The sequence below is a fragment of the Homo sapiens genome, chromosome X (assembly GCF_000001405.40).
Source record: "Homo sapiens chromosome X, GRCh38.p14 Primary Assembly".
Taxonomy (NCBI): domain Eukaryota; kingdom Metazoa; phylum Chordata; class Mammalia; order Primates; family Hominidae; genus Homo; species Homo sapiens.
Window position 1 is genome coordinate 141,234,997 of NC_000023.11, and position 20,398 is coordinate 141,255,394.

Genomic DNA, 20,398 nt, shown 5'->3' on the forward strand with positions numbered 1-20,398 from the left:
ACTTATTTAAGTCTAGGGGTTTCATAAGGAAAACAGAGGTTTTTCCCAAAACGGGATTTGTGGCACCTTTTTTGTTTTCCCAAGGAGTCCCAGGCCACCAGGAGTCGTTTCAGGGTCTTTCATACATGCACCAAGAGTGGCAAGACAGAGTGGAGAAAAGTAATTTAGTCGATCAGGAAAAAACCTTTTCCAGGAAAACAAAATTTATGAAGAGAAAAACATAAACGCGGCTGGGCACGGTGGCTCACGCCTGTAATCCCAGCACTTTGGGAGGCCGAGGTGGGCGGATCTTGAGGTCAGGAGTTCTGAGACCAGCTGGGCCAACATAGTGAAACCCTGTCTCTACTAAAAATACAAAAATCAGCCAGGTGCGAAGGCAAACGCCTGTAGTCCCAGCTACTTGGCAGGCTGAGACAGGAGAATCGCTTGAACCCAGGAGGCAGAGGTTGCAGTGAGCCGAGACCATCACCCAACTAGGATGTAGCAGAATTTCAGATTTGAACCAGGCCCATGATCTTACTTTTATTCCATATTTCCTCTGAACATAACAAGAGTAATACTAACGAGTACAACATTAATATAAGTTTAGTACTACAGTTGGCAATTTAATAACCCTTGCCACAACTGTGAGAACATGTAGCATGAATAGTACTCTATCCATTTTATGGATAGGGAATTAATCACTTACCAGTGTTGCTCCCTGACAGTTAAAACATGTAAATGCTTTCTGGTAATGAAGACTGCAATACTAAATTCAGATTAACATGCATTCATTCACCAAATATTTCTTGCAAGTTTACATGTTCCAGGTACTGTAGTAAAATAACTGATAAAAGTATCATTTTTTTTGAAAGAAGTACAAGTACCATTTAACGTCTTCACCATTAAATGGAGGATAGCCTTTCCAATAAAGTGACTTCTGACTAGTGACCTGAAGAAAATTCGGATACACAGGCCGGGCGTGGTGGCTCACGATTGTAATCTCAGCACTTTGGGAGGCGAAGGCAGGCGGATCACGAGGTCAGGAGTTCAAGACCAGCCTGGCCAACCAATGAAACCCCATCTATACTAAAACTACAAACATTAGCCAGGCGTGGTAGCAGGCGCCTGTAATCTCAGCTACTCAGGAGGCTGAGGCAGGAGAATTGCTTGAAACCAGGAGGTGGAGGTTGCAGAGAGCCGAGAGTGCACCACTGCACTCCAGGCTAGCTGACAAAGCAAGGCTCCATCTCAAAAAAAAAAAAAAAAAAAAAAAAAAAAAAAAAAAAAGGAAAAAGAAAGAAGGAAAGAAGAAGAAAAGAAAAGAAAATTAGGATACATAGTGGATATTTTAGAGAAGAACCTTCCAGGCAGAAGTATGCAAAGACCCTGATATGGATGGCAGGTTAGAGGAATCACATGCGTGGTGAGTTACAAGAGTCACAGATTGGGGAGTGTGATAGAAGCAGAGTGATTCACGAGAAGAATAAGTATTAATGTCAGAGAGGTAATAGGTGCCCACATCATGTACGGCCTTATTAGGAATTTGGATTTTATTTTAATCAAGATGAAAAGTCTGGAGTTTTCATCAAAGGAAAAACATGATCTGGCTTAAAATATACTGTAGGAGATCAAGGATAGAAGAAATAACCCATTGTCATTATTACATTACCAAATATTTTTCAGAATCATTTTTTGTTTGCTCAGATGATTTTCAAAAACATCTTTAGCTACTTAATTTAACTTGTTAAGTATTCAGACTTGTGAAGCTTTCTACCAGTTTAGGTTTAGAGATCGTCTCCTCTCTTCTCTCCTCTTCTCCTTTCCTCCCTCCCTCCCTCCCTCCTTCCCTCCCTCCCTTCCTTCCTCCCTCCCTTCCTTCCTTTCTTTCTTCCTTACTTCCTTGTCTTTGAGATTCCTCCCAGAGCATAGGATAACACAGGACGAGGTTTGCTGTCTGAAATGCGTTGAAGTCCCCTGTTATTACAAGAGTTCAAAAACGTGATGACCTCCAAAGGATGCTTAAGAAATAGAATCAGTCTTAAGTTGTAGTGTGGTGTATGGGGATCACTCTCTAGGGTCTACATTTAGTCAATGACAAAATATTTTCTGACTTTCAAATGGATCGGTGATTTCTTGTTTTTGTTTTTGTTGTTTTGAGACAGAGTCTGGCTCTGTCACCCAAGCCGGAGTGCAGTGGCACGATCTCGGCTCACTGCAACCTCCACTGCCTGGATTCAAGCAATTCTCCTGCCTCAGCCTCCCCAGTAGCTTGGATTACAGGCGCCCACCACCACGCCCAGCTAATTTTTTTTTGTATTTTAGCAGAGACAGGGTTTCACCATGTTGGCCAGGCTCGCCTCAAACTCCTGACCTCGGGTGATCCGCCCGCCTCTGCCTCCCAAAGTGCTGGGATGACAGGCATGAGCCACTGCACCTGGCCAGATCAGTGATTCTTGATTTTCTTGGCCATGAAGAAAATGATGCAATATGCTCTTCAAGGGCCTTTCTGCAGAATAGAGAAGATGAGATGCAAACTATTCTCATTGATGAACACCTTGGTTATAACTATATCTCTTTCTCTTACATTCAGAAAATTGTATTGGAATGCAAATGGTTGTGAGAGATACCACTTTTTATTGAAATAGCTGGCACATGAATATACCTGGTTACAATGCTTGGCCGAATGAGAAATGCAATGCCATTTTATGTAATTGCACTTAATATGCATGAGTCTCACACTTAATCAATTCAGAATCTCAGAATTTCCCAATGTTGTATCCATCGAACATCTCCTGAGATGCGTATCATCCCATCTGGCCCTAAATGGCTGATTCATGCAGAACATTTTCATGTCATCCCTCAAGCCCAACCACAGGGCACCTTCAGATCCAACTCTCTTTAAAACACTTTAGTGTCCTTCTTAGGGGCATGAGAAACATTAAACTGGTTTCTTTCACCATTCTGATTCTTCAAGAAAGGAAGTAGAGCTGTTATAGGCCATTTACTGACTATGTGCTGCTCTCAGGTAGCCCCACTCCCTCTGCTGTCCTGCACAGAAAAACATAGTACGTGATTAACTATGTAAGACTCTCTCAGGCCCATCTTCCCAGGCAGAACACTTGGACATGTCTTTCTTCTTTATTTTTATTATTTTAAACTGAACAGATAAAATGGAATGTGTCTATCATGTATCTAATGTTTGAAGTATATACATTGTAGAATGAATAAATATAGCTAATTAACATATGCATCATCCCACAAAGTTATCATTTTGTATTGAGAACACTTACCATCTACTCTCTTAGCATTCATCAATAATACAACATATTATGATCACCTGTAGTCACCGTGTCGTACAATGTATCTCTGCAGCTTATTCCTTCAGTCTAACAGAAATTTGGTATCCTTTGAGCAATGTCTTTCCAGCCACCACCACCGAGCCCCTAGTCACCACCATTCTACGCTCTACCTCTGTGAGACTTCTTAATTTTTTATTATTTTATTTTTAAATTTTTGTTAACTTTTATGTTAGGTTCAGGGGTACATGTGCAGGCTCGTTATATAGGGAAGTTGCGTGTCACACGGGTTTGGTGTACACATTATTTCATCACCCAGGTAATCAGCATAATAGCTGATAGGTAGCTTTTCAACCCTCACCCTCCTCCCCATCCTTTACCCCCAAGTAGACACGGGTGTCTGTTGTTCCCTTCTTTGTGTCCATGCGTACTGATGTTTAGCTCTTGCTTATAAATGGAAAAAGGTGGTATTCCATTTTCTGTTCCCACGTGAGTTCGCTTAGAGTAATGGCCTCCAGCTCCATCCATGTTGCTGCAAAAGACATGATCTCGTTTTTTTATGGCTGCATAGTATTCCGTGCTGTTTATGTACCACATTGTCTTTATCCAGTCTGCTGCTGATGGGCCTTTAGGTTGATTCAATATCTTTGCTATTGTGAATAGTGCTGTCAAGAACATACGCATGCGTATGTCTTAATGGTAGAATGATATATATCGTTTGGGTATATATCCAGTAATGTGATTGCTGAGATGAATGGTATTTCTAAGTTCTTGCAGAAATCACCAAACTGCTTTCTACAATGGCTGAACTAAGTTACATTCCCATAAACAGTGTATAGGTGTTCTCTTTTCATTTCTTTCAAGGCAGCAGGTTTCTTTCTGGCCTAGGGTGTGTCTAGAAATGTTATCCAGGAGCGAGTGCCTGGAGCAGGGGCTTCACAACCCCGACCGGTGCCCTGTCCCGCTGTAGTTGAGCTGGTATTCAAGATGCAAGAAAAAAAAAAACGCTCCTCACTATTCCATCTCCTCAAGTGGAAGGAGGGGGTCTTTTATGGAGCCGCTAGCTGGGCAGTCTGGGGCTAGGGCAGGGGTGACACCAGCACTCACTTGGCTGCCCCAGCTGGTATCTCAGGAGGTCATGTGCACCCCTCCACATACCCGCCACAATCCACTGCCTCTGGGCCCAATTCTATGCTAGAACTCACCTACGAGTTAGAGATCTTATGGCCTAGACTGCCTTTAAGGTTGTCTGAGAAACCTGGAACCGTTTCTTAGCCCTTGGTGGCAAGGTTTGCAGAAACTCAAGTTCTGATTCCTGGGATGGGTAATTTCCCTCTGGCTAGAGGTGGTTTCAATGCTCCCTTCCCAGATGGGAGTCAGCTAAGTTTGCTCTGGTTTTCCTTTCTCCTGTAAGAGACAGCACCGAGGTCAGTGACCCACAACTGCTCTGCTCTTGCTCGTCCAGCTTCCAGAGATGCTCTTTACACCATACTGCCACTGCCTAGGATAGGGAAGGGGCGGGGTCAGCGATTTAAGACTGTTTCTTCTAACTCTTCAGTGCCTCTTTCAGTGATACCGCCAGGTACTATGAGAGTTCCCCTGATTTTGGGTTCTTATGGAGGTGTTTTCTACTGTGTGGATCGTTGTTAAATTTGTGTCCTTGCGAGGGGGCTGATCTGGGCGGCCTTCTATTCTGCTTTTCTTGCTCCGCCTCTCTCAGCTTAGTTTTGGTTTGGTTTTGTTTGTTTGTTTTTCCTCTGCAATGCCTAAGGCTAAAGAATGTGATCCCGTATTACTATCCTAAATATGAAAAATTCTTTAATGTCTCGTGCTGGGTGGAAATAGTAGTTTGCAATGAGGAATACCTTCAATTGTACAGATCAAAGAGTAAGAAAAAAAGCATTGGGATTTTTTGTTTTTACCTTGTGGTCCGACAACTTGAAAGAATATTCTTTTATTCCAAAGATGGTACGTGGGGGATTTTGTTCTGGAAATCAGTGCTAGGTATTTAGGTATTTGGTTGGAGAAAAGCAAACTGGTTTTTGTCTATTGATATTTAGTATATTTTATTTTTTCATGTTATCCATGACAGTGTTATGACTTAGCAAACAACAGTTACAAATAACTAAAACTGTAATTGCTCCTGCATTTCTATTTAACTCCCTCATGTATCCTGAGAAGACCTTCTTGTTTTACCTAATGATCTCTCCAACATCCCCTGAACTCTCAAGAGGTAGACACTATGTGAAGGTCAATTCAAAGACAGAAACTAAAACCCCATCCACGGGTGACTCCATGGTGAATCCCTGTGGTGTCTTTTCCCGCTAACCGATGTGTATCCACCAAGCAGTTTTCTTTTTCAGTATAAATATTATATTGTTTGACATTTTAAGACACATGGTAATCAAAATCTATAGCCTTAATTAAATGATGACTTTCAGGAAATTATCATGCAAAATGGAAGTGTTAGGAAGCCGATAATAGACACACTCTCCTAAAAATGATCTCACCACATCACACCTAACCCTTCTCACCACCTTGCAGTTCACATTCCATGGGAAAAAGCTCCTCATACTTAAGAGTGTTTTACTTTCCTTTTCCCAAGTCATGGCGATTTTGAATATTCACACTTTGCGGATATCAACACATTTCTAAAGCATACTTATCTTGATTAAAGACTGCTGAGGTCATTAAAACACTAACAAATATTTAAGATGCATTGAACATTTTGTTTTAGAATTGGCTTTTCAATCATTTCATCACAAGCAATGCTTTCCTGCCGTTTACTTACTCCTACATCTACTATCTTCTTTTGTATTGTGCTTTGTGTTTTACAGAACATTTACGCTTTATAAAGCATCTATTTCTAGCCTAGGAAAATATCAAATGGAAAGGGGATGGGAATACCTTTGATATGTACATTCAGCAGAACTATGTGCTGCCGGGTACAGTTGCGTGAACATATACACATCTCCACTTCCTGTGAGATAAAATTTTAAGAAGAAAATTTTCTTTAGGAATCAGTCCTCCCCCAGGCCTTATTTACAATGTCTGGCTTACTGTCAACCTGTGGGTCTGTCCACCAACCCTACAGGACCTCATATCCCTCCCTTCTCAAATGCCTACCTCTTCCCTTCCCTTCCCTTCCCCCGCCACCATCAGAAAACAGGCAGAGATATACACAGCCATCAGCTTCTCAAACTTTATTTTCATTGCCCAAGGTTGAGAGATGTAGCTTCTTGCTACTTTGCAGGTATTTCAACCATTATTTCCATGAATTCCTCCTCCTCCATTTGGAGGGGGTTGATTCTGTTCTCTCGGGCGTGGTCATTCACCAGTTCCTCTGGAGATGTTCTTTTCACGTTCCTCCTGTAGCGAACCACTAGTATGGTCGAGGACTCAGATGTTTTTAGTTTTTTCGGAGCAGGTTGCGGGTCTGAGTACCCACTCGAGGTCTCCGGCATCTGTTAAGAAAGCAGGGAGAGGCCAGGAGGACATTATTTTGGGTGAACAGGATAGAGACTGGATAGCAAGGGGGCTTCATGAGAAGAAGGAATGCGGGTTGAGGAAGGGGTTTGATCCAGAGAAGAAGAAGGTTGAAGCACAGAGTAGGGATCTATGGGGAAGAAGAAGAGGAGCGTGGGTAGGGTCACCTGTGAGTCCAAACTGCACCATTTTGTCAGTTCTTTGCTATTTTGCAGACCTTGGTCAAAGTGAAACATCCCATGGGGGTTCAGGCCGTGAGAAACATCCTGCCTAACCACCTGTCCGCAAGGCGGACAAAGGCCCAACTGAAGAAACATCCCTATCATATCTTGCTTGGCAGCGTTCTAAGGAACACCACAATGATATTCCACCAGAAAAAGGGCCAAACCACCTGATCATAAGAACATCTTATCAATATCCTGCCGGGCAGCAAGCCATACTGCCCAGGCCCCTCCCACCCCTACCTACAAGCACCCCAGCCTGTAAGCGGCGGTGGGCTCTGGCATTAAGCGGGCCCCCCACTTCCACAATGGTCTGCAATATTCCTGTGTTGTTGTTTGAGCCGCCCCCGCTCTGTGTGTCTTTCTTTCACCCTCGCCTTCAATTCAAAACCTAACAGTCTTACCATCTCGTTGGCCTCGTTGGAATCACAGGGGACGCTCCTCTTCACCCCGCCGGCACTGGATTGTTTGTCCATTGTATATATTGGTTCTTCAATGTCAGCGGCAGGCTTTTGTAGGTTTTGAATCTTCGCAGTGGCCCGGAGCTCTTGCCCTCCCTGTATATACCCTCCTGGTGACAAGGCAAAGCCACACCCTTGAGCTTTGTTTGATCATACAGGCAGTGTCCCAGCCAATGGCAGCCCTAGGGTGGCTTCACATCACAAAGCCCCACTGCTGACCACTCCCTGGGCTTGCGGGCGAGGGGTGACAGGGGTGTAGAGCAAACCAAATGCTGTTGTTGTTTCAGCATCCCCTGAAGATGCATCCCAAACCGATCTGCCGCCGCTCCTCATTTCTCCATGTTTAATGTTCACGGTTCACATGGAAGTCAGAGGATGATTCCTTCAAGCCCTTCCCCACAGCCATTCCTATTAAGTGATTCATTCTTTTGTCTTCCAGCCCTCACCATGACTTAGTATTTTCGATGTCTCACCTCAAATCCCCCAAGCTAGTGTGGCTACATTTATTTATTGGCAGAGATGTGAATTATCCCATTTCCCTCCTACAGTTCCTTCACATGCACCTCGAAGACCATTTACTTTTGGGCTACTGCCAGGCAAATTTCAACCCATGTTCTTTTACCCAATGTCCATGTAGTTCTTTTAAGTTTCCTATCTCCAATCTGAAATAATGGCCTTCAGTCTGTCAAAACTTTAGTGAATAAACATTCTTTACCGTGTATCCTAGTCTTGTTTCAAATCAGGGGTGTATATTTTTTTCTCTTTTTGAAATGGAGTTTCACTGTTGTTGCCCAGGCTGGAGTGCAATGGCATGATCTCAGCTCACTGCAACCTCTGCCTCCTGGGTTTAAGTGATTCTCTGGCTCAGCTTCCTGAGTAGCTGGGATTACAGGCCTGTGCCACCACGCCCGGCTAATTTTTGTATTTTTAGGAGAGACGGGGGTCTCACCATCTTGGCCAAGCTGGTCTTGAACTCCTGACCTCGTGATCCACCCGCCTTGGCCTCCAAAGTGCTGGGATTACAGGCGTGAGCCACCACACCCAGCCAGGACAGCCATTATTAAAACCACCATTGACAAGTAAATTTTGGTTACTTCTGTAGCATACAAGAATTTAACATAAAAGTTATAATTAATAACATACACAAGTTATTTCAGAAGTATAAGAGTTTCCCATAATTTTGGAGCACATATCAATGACATTTCTATAAATACAGCCCAAAGAAAGTCAAACAGCATTTTATATTTGACGATGCTTCTTGTATGATTTTTATACCAAATAAGACCAATATGTCTCTTTTGGACTTCAGAGGACTCATATCAAAAAATTAATGAGGAATCAAGTTAGAATTTGACTTTGGAAAGTTCGTCAAAGATAAAAAGTTTAAAATGCTTGATATCACGAAATAGGGTCATGGGTCATTGTAAAATAAGTCATTCATTTAACCAAAGCAGTAACTCAAAGATTTCAAAAAAGAAAAAAAAAAGGTGAAAATCTTTATTCTTTGAGAGAGGAGGCTTAATATCCCAAACAATAAGCCCTAATTAAAAACAGGATGCGGCAAATGAAATTTGTTTTTTTGAAATTTTATAATAAAAGTTTAATCATCTTGAGTATAAAATATAATTTCTATAAACCTTGTAACCTTTATCATTTTGCATTAAGGAGTGAGTTAATGCTCCAAGAAAGCCTTGTTAAACTGACACAGCAACCTAGATACTGGTTTTGCTTTAGTGTGCCTTTGATATTAATGGTTAATTCCTAGAGAAACTGAGCTACTTTTCTCTTAATATCAGCCCTTACAATCTCACATGCCCACCTGTTCCACGATAGTCCTTGGGCCTTGAGGAGTTGAATAGTTTTAATTTCTGACCCTGCATCTCATGAACGCAGTTTACTTTGATTAGCATCTTCTACTGGGCCTGAAGATGAGGCTGTAATTGATGTCAGTGTTTAAGATATAGCAGAACTTGGTGTCCTTTTTAGACCCAGAAGTCAAAGCCCTATAGCTCAATGGCACAAGGACTTTAAAAGCACATACAGAAAGTTACACAGATGGAAGAAAACACTTTTTTAGACCTTGAAGAAAAAATTTTTGGCCTGTCATAGTGGCTCATGCCTGTAATCCTAGCACTTTGGGAGGCTGAAGCAGGTGGATCACTTGAGGTCAGAAGTTCGAGACCAGCCTGGCAACACGGTGAAACCCTGTCTCTACTACAAATACAAAAATTAGCCGGGCGTGGTGGCAGGAGAATTGCTTGAACCTGGAAGGGGGAGGTTGCAGTGAGCCAAGATTGTGCCACTGCACTCTCAGCCTGGGTGACTGAGTGAGACCCCACCTCAAAAAAAAAAAAGAAAAAGAAAAAAAAACATTTTTAGCATGAGGCCACAACAAACAGAACACAAGAGAAAAAAAGAAAAAACTTATATGAGCTGAAAATGAGTTGAAAGAGAGAGTTATTATTTTCACCTTTTAAAAGAGGAGAGTAAACCGAAAATGGTGAGATGTGATAAAAGTTAAACTTTGGGTTTAAACAATTAAAATCTTTTAATTTATTAAGAGTAAATCAACTCCTTAAGAAAATTTTATTGTTCTGATGAATTTTTTTAGTGTTTTTTTAATATCATAAGCTAAATCTGGAAAGACTATTATAAATAATTTCCCTTTAATTATAGACAACTTTATACAAATCATTTATGACAGCTTGGACTTTCTGTTTTATCCCTTCCTCTTTCTTTATTCCTTTGAGATACAGTCTTGCTCCGTCGCCCAGGCTAGAGTCGTGCAGTGGCGCCATCTCGGCTCCCTGCAACCTCCGCCTCCCATGTACAAGCAATTCTCCTGCCTCAGCCTCCGGAGTAGCTGGGACTAGAGGCACGTGTCACCACACCTGGCTAATTTTTGTATTTTTAGTAGAGACAGGGATTTGCCACGTTTGCCAGGCTGGTCTCGAACTCCTGACCTCAGGTGATCCATCCACCTCGGCTTCCCAAAATGCTGGAATTAACAAGCATGAGCCACCATGCCCAGGCTTCCTTTTTCTTTAATAACCAGTTATTTTATTTTAGAACAAAAATTTACCATACAAGATTCTTTCTCAGATGAAATTATTTTCCTTTTAACCTTTTGTGCCAAAAATGCCTGTTCATAACTTCCTTCACATTGTTCTTATTCACTGATTACCTAATTTCATAAATAACTTTTAAATAAGCTTCGAATTAGACAAAAAGTATTTTCCTTTAAGATCACATTTCTTTCTTACAGAAAAATGTTATCCTAGAATTAAAAAAATTGGAAATGACCCAGACGTGTAATATCTATTATTTAGCTTAATATAACTTTAGATTTTAAATTATATGACAAGATAATCTACAAGAACTTATTCTGTTACATTTGTGTAATTAATTTTCTAATAGTTTACTCAGGTTACTTATGAAAACTGTGATAGTTACCATTTAAAGTTATGTCCTTGTTAACCATTTTTATAACCTGTGAATTTCAGGTTGTCCTGAGTAAGAACATTAAGGTTAGATAAAGGGTCGTTTTTTTGTTTGTTTGTTTGTTTTTGTTTTTTTGTCAATAACTCAGGATTTAGCTATTTTCATTAACCAAACAATATTAAATTCCTTACTTACTAAATTTTACATAAACAAAGATAATTCTCATTTGAGCTGCATTCATAGCTTTAGAACCCTCATGCCAAATGTTGACATCTAGCAGAGATAAATATGTTGAGAATTCCAAAGCCATTTCTAATTCAATTTCACTAAAATTTTTAAAACCAGCTTGTTTATTGAAGATTTGCTTAAGTCACATGAACTTGAAAAAGCATTTGGCTTAAAGTCTATTTTTCTGAAAAGCATTAGATTTAAGTGCCTTTGTTAAGCCAATTAATTAGAGCTCTTTTCTACATTTTTAGTAGTGAAATGTCATATCCATGACACATAAATACATAGATGTATTAGATATGTAGATAGAAGTAGATCTTATAAATTCCTAAGGCCTTTATTTTTTCCTCGTATTTTAGATTTACAATTTCTTCATAACCTATTTTATTGCCCTAGGCAGTTGTCATCTAGATAGCCCTAAATGTGCATATTAAAGGAACTCTTAGGTAAAAAAAATCAGATAGTGAAATTTACATGTCAAAGCACAGAGAGAAAGAGTCGGGCGATGTTAGAGGGAGATTAAACATGGATGCCAAATCAAACACAAAATTGTAGAAATATATTATAGGATTGTATAAGGAGACCAGTTGTATTTAGATAGGGACTACCTGTCTTTTAACTGGATCTCTGAGCTCTGGGCAGAGCCCACACTGAATCCTAGGTCTCCAAAAAGGGAGAATTACTATGAGGCTACACCAAGTGACGGTTTTACAGTGTCCTTTTTTTTTTTTTAACAAAGACATTTCTAAGTGTTCAAGCTACTTTCTTCCTTAAAAATCCAAGAATAAACTAATAACAGTTTTAGTTAAAAAATCAAGTAACACAATACAAAAGCAGGCAGCTTAAGATCTGAGATGAACTTGTCTGTTTACACTCTTGGGAAAAATAGAGGTTTCTCCCCAAAAGGGAGTGTGGCATCTTCTCCATTTTCTTTAAGGAATGCAGGCAATTATAAACTATTTTACGTCCCTCATGCAACAGTGGGTAGCAAAATAAAGGAGAGACAGCAGAAGTAAATGAAGAAAACAGAATGTCATCGTCTGAGAAGAAAAAAAAAAAAACTTTTGCTCAAAAAAGACAAGGTCCTAGGAGAGAAGATGTAGAAAGTAGTAATGTTTCTCTTCAAAACTCATCTTGGTTTAAAAATAAAATAATAGACACTATAAGTAATAGCTCCTTACTCTAAAGCCTCCTCTCAACTACTAGTTCTTACACTTGAGCCCAGTTAGTTGCTTTGGCTTACTCAGGCATGTCTGGACAGGCCCAGGCAAGTCTTAGCTCATAGCTTATGCCCCTTCCTTTTTTGAAATGTTAATTGCTTCCTTAAACCTTTAGTAAGCAACTTCTTTTTCTTCTTTGTTCTCCCTTGCACTTACCTGTTTAGGAAAGTTTTAGGTTATTAGCAGATTTGGTATCAGTTGAAGACTGTGAGGTCCAGCTCCAGCCAATGGATGCAGGACAGAGCCGTAAGGCTGACCCAAATACGTAAATAATAAATATGTCTGCTTTTCCTTTGTTCAAGTGTGCTGTCACGATTGTTCGATCTGCGAGGGGCACCCTTTCTGCAGAAAGTAAAGATTGCCTTGCTGAGAGATCCTTTGTCTTTTCTTCATGGCACCGATTATCTGTTTCTAACAGAGGAAAAAATAAAGGCCTTTTAATACAAATGCACACATGCACACACACACACATCTCAGATGTTAGCTTTTAATTAAGCTGACTTTTAACCCTTGAGCTCCTTTAAAAAAATCTTTCTGAATCTCATTACCATTTTTTAGCTAGGAAAAATTGCTGATGTTTCAAAAGAAGCAAGTATCAAACCAGAAAGGGCTTGATTTAGGAAGCAAACCCAGGCTGTTGTGGAAAAAAAAGAAGGCAGAACCTTAGCTATGAAACTGCAGCATGGGGCAACAGCGTTGCTCTTTCAATTTGGCCTGGATAGCAAAAAAGTGGCCTTGCTATGTACATAAAGCCCCTTAAGTACTCAAAATCAAAAATCTTTATTGTTTTTTCTTTTGCTGAGCATTTTTCCTCCCAAGCCCTCCCCACCTTTTGTGGAAATTTAGCCACTTCAGAGGCCTTGTTCCTCATAATTTGGAACTTTCCTTTAGATTTGATCAAGTTGGATAGTTTCCCAATGAAGAAAGAAAGACCAAAACAACAAAAACAGAAACAAACAACGGCAAAAAAAAAAAAAGTTAAGCAAAAACACAAAGTATCTCAAAATTTATATGATTACTGAGCACTCTAATGGTAAGGAGAAATTAAGACCAGCTTGTTGTTAATCTTAACTTTAGACAAGACAAAACCCCTATTGAGCTACTTACCTAGTGATGGGTCTCAGGCTGAAGACTGCTGTCTGTTACCCTAGAAGCAGGAAAAAACTCAGATTCATCTTCCGTGCTGGGAGCAAGGTCAAACTCCATAAAGGAATTACCTGCCTTCCATTGACATGGAAGCAGGAAAACTTGCCTTCCTTGTTGAAAGCAGGTAAATTTTCAGAAAAGGAGTTGTGCAGCAAAATAAAGTTTAGATTGCAACCAAATTTTTGGAGATCAGGGATTCTTTGGAGGGGTGGCTTTCAGGCCTCAGCAAATTGTCCTATTGGTTTTAACCATGAAGATAGCTCAAGCTGGTACCAAGTACCAGTAGAAGATTTGTGAAAGGTCAGGGGCACCTACACTCAGAATCCCTCTGTGGTTACCCAAATGTGAACCCCAAATATCTGAGACAGGTCTCAGTCAATTTTGAAAATTAATTTTGCCAAGGTTAAGGATGCACCCATGACGCAGCCTCAGGAAGTCCTGATGATACAGACAGGAGACAAGGAAATACTGGGTAGGAGAGGGTGGTTCCCCAGCAAAAGTGCTACCCTCAAGCCTGGAAACCCATGGCTCTAAATGGGAACAGGCATTCCTGTTTTCATGACTAAAAGTTGCCTTTGGACCCACCACATCCCCCTATCCTGTACCTATATAAACCCCAAAGCCTAGGCTCCATGAGCAGACGAGCAGAGGAACAGAAGAGCAGAAGAATGGCAGAGAAGGAGAGAAGAGAAGGAGCATCTGAACATTGAGAGGAGTTCAGCTGGGGACAGCAAATCTCCAGGGAAAGATCATCTTCTGACTCTGTCTCCCTTTCAGCTCCCCATCCGTCCCACTGAGAGCCACCCTGACCACTCAATAAAACCTCCACATTCACCATCCTTCAAATCCATGTGAGACCTGATTTTTCCTGGATGCTGGACAAGAGTTTGGGATACAGAAAGCTGTCACACTGGCTTTCTGCCCTTGTGAAAAGGCAGAGGGTCCATTAAGCTGTTTAACACTTAAGCCATCCGTGGATGGCAAAGCTAAAAGAGCACACTGTAATATACACCCACTTGGGCTTTGGGCTTCACAGGCACCCACCCCTGGATGCTGCCATGGGTCTAGAGCCCAGGAGTGCTTGCCCCAGCTTCTGCACCTGCCTGTCTGTGTGTTCCCTTTCCCATGAGGGGTTTGAACATGCATGGCAGCCAGAGGAGCCACACGCCTGTCGCACACTTTTTGATGGGGTTGTTTGTTTTTTTTCTTGTGAATTTGTTTAAGTTCCTTGTAGATTCTGGATATTAGCCCTTTGTCAGATGGATAGATTGCAAAAATTTTCATCCATTTTGTAGGTTGCCTATTCACTGATGATAGTTTATTTTGCTATGCAGAAGCTCCTTAGTTTAATTAGATCCCATTTGTCAATTTTGGCTTTTGTTGCCATTGCTTTTGGTGTTTTAGTCATGAAGTCTTTGCCCATGCCTATATCCTGAATGGTATTGCCTAGGTTTTCTTCTAGGGTTTTTATGATTTCAGGTCTTACATTTAAGTCTTTAATCCATCTTGAGTTAATTTTTGTATAAGGTGTAAGTAAGGAAGGGATCCAGTTTCAGCTTTCTGCATATAGCTAGCCAGTTTTCCCATCACCATTTATTAAATAGGGAATCCTTTCCTCATTGCTTGTTTTTGTCAGGTTTGTCAAAGATCAGATGGTTGTAGATGTGTGGCGTTATTTCTGAGGGCTCTGTTCTGTTCCATTGGTCTACATATCTGTTTTGGTACCAGTACCATGCTATTTTAGTTACTGTAGCCTTGTAGTATATATAGTTCGCAGTCAGGTAGCATGATGCCTCCAGATTTGTTCTTTTTGCTTTGGATTGTCTTGGCTATACGGGCTCTTTTTTGGTTCCATATGAAATTTAAAGTAGTTTTTTCTAATTCTGTGAAGAAAGTCAGTGGTAGCTTGATGGGGATAGCATTGCATCTATAAATTACTTTGGGCAGTATGGCCATTTTCTCAATATTGATTCTTCCTATCCATAAGCATGGAATGTTTTTCCATTTGTTTATGTCCTCGTTATTTCCTTGAGCAGTGGTTTGTAGTTCTCCTTGAAGAGGTCCTTCACATCCGTTGTAAGTTGTATTCCTAGGTGTTTTATTCTCTTTGTAGCAATTGTGAATGGGAGTTCACTCATGATTTGGTTCTCTGTCTATTATTGGTGTATAGGAATGCTTGTGATTTTTGCACATTGATTTTGTATCCTGAGACTTTGCTGAAGTTGCTTATCAGCTTAAGGAGATTTTGGGCTGAGATGATGGGGTTTTCTAAATATACAATCATGTCATCTGCAAATAGAGACAATTTGATTTCCTCTCTTCCTATTTGAGTACCTTTATTTCTTTCTCTTGCCTGATTGCCTTGGCCAGAACTTGAAATACTATGTTGAATAGGAGTGGAGAGAGAGGGCTTCCTTGTCTTGTGCCAGTTTTCACAGGGAATGCTTCCAGCTTTTGCCCATTCAGTATGTTATTGGCTTTAGATTTATCATAAATAGCTCTTATTATTTTGAGATATGTTCCTTTGAGAGTTTTTATTTTGAAGGGGTGTTGAATTTTATCAAAGGCCTTTTCTATATCTATTGTGATAATCGTGGTTTTTGTCATTGATTCTGCTTATGTGATGGATTACGTTTATTGATTTGCGTATGTTGAACCAGCCTTGCATCCCAGGGATGAAGCTGACTTGATCGTGGTGGATAAGCTTTTTGATCTGCTGGTAGATTCAGTTTGCCAGTATTTTATTGAGGATTTTTGCATCAATGTTCATCAGGAATGTTGGCCTAAAATTTTCTTTTTTTGCTGTGTCTCTACCAGGTTTTGGTATCAGGATGATGCTGCCCTTATGAAATGAGTTAGGGAGGAGCCCCTCTTTTTCTATTGTTTGGAATAGTTTCAGAAGGAATGGTACCAGCTCCTCTTTGTACCTCTGGTAGAATTCGGCTGTGAGTCCATCTGATCCGGGGCTTTTTTTGCTTGGTAGACTATTAATTACTGCCTCAATTTCAGAACTTGTTATTGGTTTATTCAGGGTTTTGACTTCTTCCTTGTTTAGTCTTGGGAGGGTGTATGTGTCCAGGAATTTATCCATTTCTTCTAGATTTTCTAGTTTATTTTTGTAGAGATGTTTATAGTATTCTCTGAGGGTAGTTTGTATTTCTGTGGGAACAGTGGTGATATCCCCTTTATCAGTTTTTTTGTGTGTGTGTGTGTGTGACGGAGTCTTGCTCTGTCATCCAGGCTGGAGTGCAGTGGCGTAATCTTGGCTCACCGTAACCTCCGCCTCCCAGGTTCAAGTGATTCTCCTGCCTCAGCCTCCCAAGTATCTGGGATTACAGGCACCTGCCAACACGCCTGGCTAATTTTTGTGTTTTTCGTAGAGATAGGGTTTCACCATTTTGGCCAGGTTGGTCTTGAACTCCTGACCTCTGGTGTTCTGCCCACCTCAGCCTCCCAAAATGCTGGGATTACAGACATGAGCCACCATGCCCAACCCCCTTTATCATTTTTTTATTGTGTCTATTTGATTCTTCTCTCTTTTCTTCTTTATTATTCTGGCCAGCGGTCTATCTATTAATCTTTTGAAAAAACCAGATCCTGGATTCATTGATTTTTTTGAAGGGTTTTCATGTCTCTATCTCCTTCAGTTCTGATCTGATCTTAGTTATTTCTTGTCTTCTGCTAGCTTTTGAATTTGTTTGCTCTTGCTTCTCTAGTTCTTTTAATCGTGATGTTAGGGTGTCGATTTTAGATCTTTCCCGCTTTCTTCTTTGGGCATTTAGTGCTGTAAATTTCCCTCTAAACACACTGCTTTAGCTGTGTCCCAGAGATTCTGGTACGTTGTGTCTTTGTTCTCATTGGTTTCAAAGAACTTATTTATTTCTGCCTTAATTTTGTTACTTACCTAGTAGTCGTTCAGGAGCAGGTTGTTCAGTTTCCATGTAGTTGTGTGGTTTTGAGTGAGTTTCTTAATCCTGAGTTCTAATTTGATTGCACTGTGGTCTGAGAGACTGTTTGTTATGATTTCCGTTCTTTTGCATTTGCTGAGGAGTGTTTTACTTCCAATTATGTGGTCAATTTTAGAATAAGTTCAACGTGGTGCTGAGAAGAATGTATATTCTGTTGACTTGGGGTGGAGAGTTCTGTAGATATCTCTTGGGTCCGCTTGGTCCAGAGCTGAGTTCAAGTCCTGATTATCCTTGTTAATTCTCTGTCTCGTCGATCTGTCTAATATTGACAATGGGGTCTTATAGTCTCCTACAATTATTATGCGGGAGTCTAAGTCTCTTTGTAGGTCTCTAAGAACTTGCTTTATGAATCTGGGTGCTCCTGTATTGGGTGCATATATAGTTAGCTCTTCTTGTTGAATTGATCCCTTTACCATTATGTAATGCCCTTCTTTGTCTTTTTTGATCTTTGTTGGTTTAAAGTCTGTTTTATCAGAGACTAGGATTGTAACCCCTGCTTTTTTTGTTTGTTTGTTTTTTGAGTCGAAGCCTCACTCTGTTGCCCAGGCTGCAGTGCAGTGACACAATCTCGGCTCACTGCAACCTCTGCCTCCTGGGTTCAAGATATTCTCCTGCCTCAGCCTCCCAAGTAGCTGGGATTATAGGCACCTGCCACCACCCTGGGCTAATTTTTGTATTTTTAGTACGGACGGGTTTTCACCATGTTGGCCAGGCTGGTTTCAAACTGCTGTTCTTAGATGATTCTCACGCCTTGGCCTCCCAAAGTGCTGGGGTTACAGGTGTGAGCAACCTCGCCCAGCCAATGACTAATCTTAAATTGTGTGTGTGTGCGTGCGTGTGTGCGCTCCACTGTGTGTGCAAATGGCCCTTTACTGCCATTAAGCCATTTCTTTTATTAATAACAGTTTATTAATTAGTTCGGTTCTTAGAGAGCAGCTTCCTTGGGCCGGAGTGCTATCCACATGGACTGAGAATGGAATATTGTCCCTACTTTTGAGCAGCTCTCAAGACATTAAAGTAGAATGAATAGAACAATGATTATAGTTGAGTATAATTAGAATCCTGAATTTGGCACGAAAATAAGTTAACATTTTGTTTAACTGGTAGATGATTGCTCAGTTTGTCTTCAAACTGTGTATTTTTATTTTCTGCCTCATAAAAATGCAAAAAGTAAAAATATAAATTACATTTAGCATCTAGATACCAACTATCACTAGGCTCCTTCCAGTTTACTGTCCTACAGAATTCCAGGCTTGAGAATCAGAGTATTTAATATAATTCCTACGTCATGACAGCAAGTTGCTTAGTGGGAGGAAGATTGGATTGGGAATGGGACAGTCCAGCCTAGCTTCCTGACCATTTATTGAGTCTCTATTTTTTTTTCTTTGAATGGATTGCCACTGTCTTAGGTCTGAGTGTGGGCTCAGACTTAATTCACAAAGCATTTATTGAGTGCTTACTATTTACATGGATTTTTAATAGAAAATGATATCAAGAATGATGTTTCACCTGACACTCTGCTGCGGGATTATTTTATAAATGTAAAATGTGCTTTTCACAAGGAAATGACCAGAATTTCCTCAGGAAAATGTTTAAATGCTGACTACCGTGTAATCTATGCCAAAAGTTCCACTGATAACACTAATATTAGTTACCAGTTAGCTGATAATTAAGGTGCTAACTGATTATTAGGGGGTTGGTTGATAATAGGTCAAGTTTTGAATACTCCTAACACATTGGAATTGTCAAAGGGTGGAAAGTAGATGAAACAACCTGCTACTGTCTACAACATACCACTCTACTACATTCTACTCTCTTGCATTCCCGGACCCATCTGTTCATTGTTTAGAAATGGAGAATGTGTGATTTTTCAGGGTTGAGGAATGATTGGATATAAGCCTTTTCCCTATTGGTTTCACACTGCAGCTGCCTTGGCATATTTCCTTTAAGGTCTATCAAAAAGGAAAAGGAAAAGAAAAGCAAAGAAAGAGGAGATGCTAAACCTTGTCTTAGAAGAAATAGGCCTGGCTGGAAAACAAAAACAAACAACAACAAAATCACCCTGACAATTTATATTTTTTCATAGCTTTATTTCAAATCCATAAAGCATCACATTCCCTAGTACCAGTTACTGAGACAATTTAGTCAACGGGTTGACAGGGACATCTGTAAGGATGCCATCACAGCCAGCAAAGGAAGGTATTTTTGAAACCAGCCGAATAACGAAATTAATTTTACACTGCTTCATCTAATGGTAAAACCAACATTTTAACCACGCCTGAGCCATGTCTAACACAGCGTAACTTTGGAGGGAGAGAGTAGACTAAGAGAAGGGAGCAGTGGGTCTCTTTGAACAATGATGGGAAATATCTGCTGTTTCAGAGCTCAAATTGTATTTACCTGAGAAAAGCCATCAAATATAAGCAGAGATAGCTTGTACTTCTTGTCTGTTTTTCCAAAGGGCAAGATAATACCTCAGAGTGAGGGGTGTCTTTATGTGTGCTGAGACTGAAGATACAATTTTTTACACTCAACGGTTGTTTATTTTCTGATGCTTCATTCATTCTGGGACAGGAATCTTGGGAGCTTTAAGTCTCACCCAGTCTTTCTAGGGGAATAAGAAAGCCATCACTCACTGTGGCTTTGTCAGCTTTGTTTAGCCCACCTCTTTGGAGTAAGCCAATAAAGGTTTCTGGTGAGGAATCTGAACTAGATAAGGAAAGGACTTATCCTAAATACATAGCTGAGAAAGACTTCTAATTCTTCCAAGAAGAAGACAATGTCAACACTGACAATGTGTGGGTAAGGCAGTCTCCAGGACTCACAAGAACCCCTATTTACGGAGTTATCCATATATTCAGCAAACTGTACTAAATACTTATTTTTAGATGGTTCTATGCTCAATCAATTCAAAGCATAAGTAAATATTAAACCATCCATGACACATAG

General features: G+C 40.4%; 1 protein-coding gene across 1 annotated transcript; it reads right to left on the reverse strand.

Annotated features, from left to right (window-relative positions):
• Positions 1-6,466: 6,466 nt before the first annotated feature.
• Positions 6,467-7,521, reverse strand: SPANXC (SPANX family member C). Its single transcript, NM_022661.4, has 2 exons — positions 7,390-7,521; positions 6,467-6,742 (listed from the first exon to the last, which is right to left on the reverse strand). The coding sequence occupies exons 1-2, from the start codon at positions 7,459-7,461 to the stop codon at positions 6,521-6,523; spliced, it is 294 nt and encodes a 97-aa protein (NP_073152.2). The 5' UTR covers positions 7,462-7,521; the 3' UTR covers positions 6,467-6,520.
• Between the last annotated feature and the right edge of the window lie 12,877 nt (positions 7,522-20,398).

What these genes read in the sequence shown, in the direction of transcription:
- SPANXC (NM_022661.4), bottom strand. Translation starts at nt 7,461, where the DNA reads ATGGACAAACAATCCAGTGCCGGCGGGGTGAAGAGGAGCGTCCCCTGT. An exon ending in CCAACGAGGCCAACGAGATG is followed by an intron (nt 6,743 to 7,389) that starts GTAAGACTGTTA and finishes CTTTCTTAACAG; the next exon opens with ATGCCGGAGACCTCGAGTGG.